At 45.3% G+C, this 8,576-nt stretch overlaps 1 annotated feature.

Moving 5' to 3' along the window:
* Positions 3,972–4,164: a silencer, noted in NCBI's record as "fragment chr5:137436961-137437153 (GRCh37/hg19 assembly coordinates)". NCBI's record gives its function as "represses an EF-1alpha promoter that drives an FKBP-Casp9 reporter gene in an ReSE screen in HepG2 liver carcinoma cells {active_cell/tissue: HepG2}" and the evidence as "EXISTENCE:reporter gene assay evidence [ECO:0000049][PMID:32094911]".

An 8,576-nucleotide genomic window follows, 5' to 3' on the forward strand; every position in this document is an offset into this window, starting at 1 on the left:
TCTCTTTTGGAATCTGGATATGCCCGACTCCAGAGTCCCCCAGACCTCTGCTTTCTCTGCCTTCCTCCAGGTGTAGCCTGCTCTCAGTTTCATCTATCCTAGTTCTTCCAATGGTAGCTCCTTACTGTGTTCACGAAAAGCTGTTGTTACAGCCCCACATCCTCAGCACTGACCACAATGTGTCAGTTAGTCTTTTATCCTCCTGACTTTGCTCAATTGTCTACTTAGGTTGGACTATGTTCAGTAATTTCACTACTCCTGGAGACTTCCTCACCCTTCTGATCACTCATTAAGGGTACCTTGACTTTTTCTCTTTTCTTTTCCTTTTCTTTGTCCTTTCCTTTCCCTTTCCCTTTTCCTTTCTTTTCTTTTCTGAGGCGGATTTTCGCTTTTGTTGCCTAGGTTGGAGTGCAATGGCAAGATCTCGGCTCACCGAAACCTCCACCTCCCGGGTTCAAGCGATTCTACTGCCTCAGCCTCCCAAGTTGCTGGGATTACAGGCATGTGCCACCGCGCCTGGCTAATTTTGTATTTTTAGTAGAGACGGGGTTTCTCCATGTTGGCCAGGCTGGTCTCAAACTCCCGACCTCAGGTTATCCTCCCGCCTCAGCCTCCCAAAGTGCTGAGATTATAGGCGTGAGCCACCGCACCCGGCTACCTTGACATTTTCTAACCTAGAGTCACCTTAACCACTGTCGTCTCCCTCTGGAATCCCCTCTAGAAGATCCCCTTAATTTATACCACTCTGTCTCCTGGCATTGGCCACATTCCTGTCTTCAGATATCCCAGGGACTCACCAATAAAAAAGAGAGAAGGCTGGGCGCGGTGGCTCACGCCTGTCATCCCAGCACTTCATGAGGCCAAGGTGGGTGGATAACCTGAGGTCAGGAGTTCAAGACCAGGCTGGCCAACACAGTGAAATCCTATCTCTACTAAAAATACAAAACTTAGGCAGGCAGCTGTAATCCCAGCTACTTGGGAGGCTGAGGCAGGAGAATCTCTTGGACCCAGGAGGCGGAGGTTGCAGTGAGCCGAGATTGTGCCACTTCACTCCAGCCTGGGTGACAGAGCGATACTCCGTCTCAAAAAAAAAAAAAAAAAATTTGCCCAGCCTGGTGGGACATACCTGTTGTCCCAGATACTCAAGAGGCTGAGGCAGGAGAATCGCTTGAACCCGGGAGGCGGAGGTTGCAGTGAGCCAAGATCACGCCACTGCACTCCAGACTAGGTGATAGAGCGAGACTCCATCTCAAAATTACAACAACAACAACAACAACAAAAATAAATAAATAAAATAAAAAAGAGATAGAAGGGCCCAGCACAATGGCTCACATCTGTAAACCCAGCACTTTGGGAGGCCAGGGTGGGCAGATTGCTTGAACCCAAGAGTTTGAGACTAGCCTGGGCAACACAGCAAAACTTTATCTCTACAAAAAACACAAAAATTAGCCAAGAAGGTCGAGCATGGTGGCTCACGCCTATAATCCCAGCAATTTGGGAGGCCGAGGCGGGTGGGTCACAAGGTCAGGAGTTCAAGACCAGCCTGGCCAAGATGGTGAAACCCCATCTCTACTAAAAATACAAAAATTAGCCAGGCATGGTGGCGGGCGCCTGTAGTCCCCAGCTGCTCGGGAGGCTGAGGCAGAGAATTGCTTGAATGCCGGAGGCGGAGATTGCAGTGAGCGAAGATTGCGCCACTGCACTCCAGCCTGGGTGACAGAGTAAGACTCCATCTCAAAAAAAAAAAAAAAAAAAATTAGCCAAGTGTGGTGGTGTGTGCCTGTAGTACCAGCTACTCAGGAGGCTGAGGCAGGAGGATTGAGCCCAGAAGGTCAAGGCTACAGTGAGCTGTGATCATGCCACAGCACTCCAACCTGGGCAACAGAATAAGACCCTGTCTCAAAAAAAAAAAAAAAAAAAAAAAAAAGAGAGAGAGAGAGAAGAAAAAGAACTCTTTTTGACCTGCTGTCTTTCCAAACTCATATTTTATTTCTTTCACCACCTAATCTCTTAAGTATGGAACCCATAACCAGGGTTCTGATTTCATTACCCATCTTTTTTTTTTTTTTTTTTTTTTTTTTCCAAATGGAGTTTCACCTTTGTTGCCCAGGCTGGAGTGCAATGGTGCAATCTTGACTCACTACAACCTCTGCCTCCTGGGTTCAAGTTATTTTCCTGCCTCTGCCTCCCAAGTAGCTGGGATTACAGGCACACACCACCACGCCCGACTAATTTTGTATTTTTTTTTTAGTAGAAACAAGGTTTCACCATGTTGGTCAGGCTGGTCTCGAACTCCTGACCTCAACTGATCCACCCACCTCAGCCTCCCAAAGTGCTGGGATTACAGGTGTGAGCCACCGTGCCCGGCCTCATTACCTACCTTTAATTGCTTGTCTTCTGTATCCCTCTCCCTCTATCCTACAGACATAGTTCTCTCTAAGTGCATCAGTGACCACTGGCTATAAATCCTCCTGCGTTTCAGACAATTCTTTCGAGCTACTCTTCTTTCTTGATCCTTAATATGAACATCACCCTCAGGTTCAGGTTGGGGTCCACTTTTTTCTCTGCTCTCACCGTGGAGAACTTATCTATTCTCAAATTCCAGTCTTATTTCTGTGCTGATGACTCCTAAATTTCCATCTCTGTGTGAGCTCTAGGCATTGCAGCTCTAATGCTTGACTGGCCGTTCTAGTTGGATGTCACAACTGATTTTCTCTCATGACTTCTATGTTTCCATCAGTGAGCTAATGAAACTTGGAGTAACTGAGGCTTACTTTTCTGAGTCGTTCCTGACTCCTCCCTTTGCTCAACTTTTCACATTTAGTCTTCTTCCTTTGGTTCGTCCTCCAAATCTATCCCTTCCCTCTATTACCTTTGCTTCCACACTGTGCTAAGATCATACCTTGTATCTGAATTTTGAACCAAGAACTGATATTCTACTTTTCAACTCTCCACCTAACACATTACTACCATATTTACTTTACTAATTCATCACATTCAATTCATTATTCACCTGATCAAAAAACAAAGCAAAACAAAAACTTCAAGTCACTAGAGAATAAAATCTAAATTCTATGGCATTTCTTTCTTGTCTTATTTTATTATTATTATTATATTTTTGTGAGAGGGAATCTCAGTCTGTTGCCCAGCCTGGAGTGCAGTGGCACAATCTCAGCTCACTGCAACCTCCACCTCCTGGGTTCAAGCGATTCTCCTGCCTCAGCCTCCCAAGTAGCTGGGACTACAGGCGCCAGCCACCATGCCCAGCTAATTTTTTTTGTATTTTTAGTAGAGAGGGGGTTTCACTATGTTGGCCAGTCTGGTCTCAAACTCCAGACCTCGTGATCCACCCGCCTCGGCCTCCCAAAGTGCTGGGATTACAGGCATGAGCCACCGTGCCTGGCCTATTCCTGCAATCTTATGCGACTATTGATACAATTTAATTTTCAGAAAATCAAGGAAGATAATTTAGCACTTTAGGAAGCCAAGGCAGTGGATCTTTTGTGGCCAGGAGCTTGAGACAAGTCTAGCCAACTTAATGAAACCCTATCTCTACTTAAAAAAAAAAAAAAAAAATACCTGGGCATGGTAGCATGTGCCTGTAGTCCCATCTACTTGGGAGGCTGAGGCACAAAAATCACTTGGCTGGGAGGTGGAGGTTGCAGGGAGCCGAGATCGTGCTACTATACTCCAGCAGCCTGGATGACAGAATGAGATTCTGTCTCAAAACCCAAACAACACATACACAAAAAAAGCCATAAAAAAACCCATACTAGATGTTATATGAAAATGGACTGGAAGGGGCAAGAGTGGAACCCTGAAGAAAAGGCAATTGTATTAGTTCAGGCAAGAGCTAATGGTGGCTTGAACTAGGATAGGAACAGAGGGAGCAGAGAGAAGGAAGGTGAGCAGTACGTTAAAAAGAGGAAGAATCAGCCAGGTGTGGTGGCTCACACCTGTAATTCCAGCACTTTGGTAGACCGAGGTAGGCAGATCATGAGGTCAGGAGTTCGAGACCAGCCTGGCCAACATGGCGAAACCCCATCTCTACTAAAAATACAAAAATTAGCTGGGTGTGGTGGTGTGCGCCTGTAATCCCAGCTACTCAGGAGGCTGAGGCAGGAGAATCACTTGAACCTGGGAGGCGGAGGTTGCAGTGAGCTGAGAACGTGCCACTGCACTCCAACCTAGGTGACAAGAGCAAGGCTCGGTCTTAAAAAAAAAAATGAGGAAGAATCAATGCAATTGCTGATAGATTAGATATGGTGGTTGAGAGAAGGTGAGGAAGCTAGATGACTCCCAGTCTTTCCAACTTTAGTAACTTGAGTGGCAGGTGTTACCAATTATGGACATAGGTGAAATGAGAGAAAACCAGATTAGGACTAACAGGAAGATGAGAATTAAGAGTTCCATTTTGGCCAGGTGTGGTGGCTCACACCTGTAATCTCAGCACTTTGGGAGGCTAAGGTGGGTGGATCACTTAAGGCCAGGAGTCCGAGTCCAAGACCAGCCTGGCCAAAATGATGAAACCCCTTCTCTACTAAAAATACAAAAATGAGCCAGGCGTGATGCTGTGTGCTTGTAATCCCAGCTATTTGGGAGGCTGAGGCAGGAGAATCACTTGAATCTGGGAGGCAGAGGTTGCAGTGAGCTGATATTGTGCCACTGCACTGCAGCCTGGGCAACAGAGTGAGACTGTTTCAAAAAAAAAAAAAGTTCCATTTTAAGCGTATCAACTTTGTAATTTTCCTGAGACATTCAAATGAAGATATCAAGCAGGTGATAGGCTAATAAGTATAGGAAATCTTGCTAAATAAACTAGAAATTTGAGAAGGAGATGCAAATTTGGGAGTCATCAATAAAGAGATATTTTCTGAAGCCATGGAAGTAAATGAGATAAGTGAAGAGTGAAGAGGGTGCAGGTTCAAGTCCTAAGAAACATCACATCTTCCCCCATCGATGCCCACAAGTGTCCATTGAAGGAGCTGAGCTGCTGAACCTCTTTCTGATTCTGAGTCTAGGTAGGTAGAGACTTGCCGGCAGGTAGGGGGAAAGATGAGCTAACCTTTGTGGGAGGCTCCCTGTCAGTTTATTCTTTCACTGAATGCCTTCTATGGGGTCAAGGATATGCTAGGCAACTGCTTAGGGACATAAAAATGAAAGTACATAATCCCTCCCAATCAAGAAATGCTCACCTGTTCTCATAACAATGTAGTATGCCAGCCTAAGCAACATAGCAAGATCTTGTCTCTACAAAAATACAAAAATCAGGCAGGTGTGGTGGTGCGCACCTGCAGTCCTAGCTACTCAGGAGGCTGAGGCAGGAGGATCACTTGAGATGGGAGATTGAGGCTGCAGTGAGCTATGATTGTACCACTGCACTCCAGCATGGGCAACAGAGCAAGATCCTGTCTCAAACAACCCAATGTAGTGTGATAAACATTCTAACAGAGGTGTGTATAGGGGCAGTGGAAACTCCGGGATGAAAGCAACCAACATCATCTGCCTGGCCTAGAACTGAAGCAAAACTCACCCAAGTGGTTAGAGCTGATGACTATTACAACGGTGCTCTGAAGCCAGAATGGCTTTCCCCACCTCTGTTTACTTCTGTGTTGTTCTAAAACAAACCCTGTACTTCCTAGGATAGAGATAAAATGATAACAGTTTGGTGAGGGCAAAAAGGAGGCTTTGGTTCTCTGACCATTGACAACAGAGAACAGACCTTTCCAATGAGTTTTAATCCGTCAGGTGTGGGGCAGGCGTGGGGGTTAGAGGAAAAACTAGAAGAGAGTGGTTTATTGCTGTTCACAAAAAAAAGCAGTAAAATACTTTGCCCTGAGCTGCGTAAGGGTCATACTCTGTATGATAAGCTATCATTTAACATGAGGAGGAAATTGAAGTTTCACTTCCTTGCTTTTGTGGCACCCCTTGAATTGGGTTGATGACTCCATTCAGTCAGCATGAGGCCTGCCTTACCAATTTTGTTTTGCAAAACAAAGCCAGTCACGGTCAAACTCAGTTGGTTAATTTCATAGATTAACATGTGAAGCCCCAGGAAAGCAAGGCAGCTGGGACTGCTCTGGCTGGGAAACCATGGGTTAATTCTGGGCCAGCATGGCAGGGAGCTTCATAAGATCTTTTAGCCCCTTGGCACCCGCCCACACCTCACCCCTCCAAAAGCTTCCCTCATTCACCAGTGTCCTGGGGTTGAATTGAAATAATCTCCAGAGTGTGAAGGACAGGGCAGGGTTGAGTGTATTGGATACATTTCCCCAGTGTGTTATGTAATTCTTCTCAGCCTGATTTCTTTAGAACCGGGCTGGGTAGCACGTGTGGTAAAAGAAGCCTGGCTGGAATCTATATGAGCGCAAACTGGGGAAAGCAAAATTAAAAAAAAAAAAAAAAGACAATAATACAAAATTTCTTTCAAATCTTGGGCTCCAATAGGGATACCTACACAACCTAAAGAAAACAGTGAAGATGAAAATATTGTTAGAGCTTTACTAAACAGCCAGACATTTCATGTTGCCTCTATGGCTAAGATACTAGAAAAGAATTGTTGACTCTCTTAAGAGGATGATCCAAGCCGAGTTCTGACTCCTTTCTAACTCTAAAATTTGCTGAAAAACTGAGGCTACTTTGGAATATATCATAATCTGGAGTTCTTCAAACTTCTTATTTAGCTAAGATAAATTCCATTGTTTCTGTCTTTCTGAATTCCGATGCTTCTGGTGAGAAACGATTCTGCCAATAATACATAAGGACTATCCAAAAGCCAAGAAAATTTGTACCTGCAAATAAAACTGCCCAAAAAATGAGGTTCATGTTCCAAAAAGAGAGTAAGGTAATATATAATTTTAGTTCCCTGAAGGTTGTCTTGCATTTTTCCAAAAGGACTTATTCCTGAAATCTTTATTTTATTTATTTAATATTATTATTATTTTTTGAGACGGAGTCTCACTCTGTCACCCAGGCTGGAGTGCAATGGCACGGTCTTGGCTCACTGCAACTTTCACCTCCCGGATGCAAGCAATTCTCCTGCCTCAGCCTCCCAAGTGGCCAAGATTACAGGCACGTGCCACCACACCCGGCTAATTTTCGTATTTTTAGTAGAGATGGGGTTTCACTATGTTGGCCAAGCTGGTCTCAAACTCCTGACCTCGTGATCCGCCTGCCTCAACCTCCCAAAGTGCTGGGATTACAGGCATGAGCCACCGTGCCTGGCCTATTCCTGCAATCTTATGTGACTATTGATACAATTTAATTTTCAGAAAATCAAGGAAGGTAATTTAGTATTGCAGGAAAAATGTTGCTGATGTTGCCACAGATTTTACTATAATGCTATGCTAATTACTTCTTGAGCCTCAAAATCATTGTTATACAAAGAGGGGATTGGATTAGATTGCATGATACATTCCCCCAATTTTTTTTTCAAATTCTAAAATTCTATTCTGAGCTTCTAAGTTTCTCTATCCTGACAGTTTTGGTCTTCAGATGATGCCTTGTGCCAATTGCCATACAGAAAAAGTTAGAATAAGTTACTTCTGCTTCCTAGAAATATATAGCCTATAAAAAAGCAATAGTCGGTCGGGTGCAGTGGCTCATGCCTGTAATCCCAGCACTTTGGGAGGCCAAGGAGGTTGGATCATGAGGTCGGGAGTTTGAGACCAGCCTGACCAATATGGTGAAACTGTCTCTACTAAAAATACAAAAAAATTAACCAGGCGTGGTGGCGGCACCTGTACTCCCAGCTACTCGGGAGGCTGAGGCAGAGAATTGCTTGAACCCAGGAGGCAGAAGTTGCAGTGAGCCGAGATTGCGCCACTGCACTCCAGCCTGGGCAACAGAGCGAGACTCCGTCTCAGAAAAAAAAAAAAGCAACGGTCAGGCCCAGCATGGTGGCTTACGCCTATAATCCCAGCACTTTGGGAGGCCAAGGAGGGTGGATCACGAGGTGGGGAGTTTGAGACCAGCCTGACCAATATGGTGAAACTCTGTCTCTACTAAAAATACAAAAAAATTAACCAGGCGTGGTGGCGGCACCTGTACTCCCAGCTACTCGGGAGGCTGAGGCAGAGAATTGCTTGAACCCGAGAGGCAGAAGTTGCAGTGAGCCGAGATTGCGCCACTGCACTCCAGCCTGGGCAACAGAGCGAGACTCCGTCTCAGAAAAAAAAAAAAAGCAACGGTCAGGCCCAGCATGGTGGCTTACGCCTATAATCCCAGAACTTTGGGAGGCCAAGGCAAGTGGATCACTTGAGCTCAGGAGTTGGAGACCAGCCTGGGCAATATGGTGAAACCCCGTCTCTACTAAAAACTCAAACATTAGCCGGCATGGTGGTGCACACCTGTAATTCCAGGTACTCAGGAGTCTGAGGCAGGAGAATCACTTGAACCCAGGAAGCAGAGGTTGCAGTGAGCCAAGATCGCTCTACTGCACTCCAGCCAGGGCGACAGAGTGAGACTCCGTCTCATTTTAAAAAAAAAGCAACAGTCACATGTTCTTGATGTACACATAGTCTAATGGTTAGATTTCACTTATTTGGGCTGGGCGCTGTGGCTCATGCCTGTAATCC

Source organism: Homo sapiens, chromosome 5, assembly GCF_000001405.40.
Source record: "Homo sapiens chromosome 5, GRCh38.p14 Primary Assembly".
NCBI lineage: Eukaryota > Metazoa > Chordata > Mammalia > Primates > Hominidae > Homo > Homo sapiens.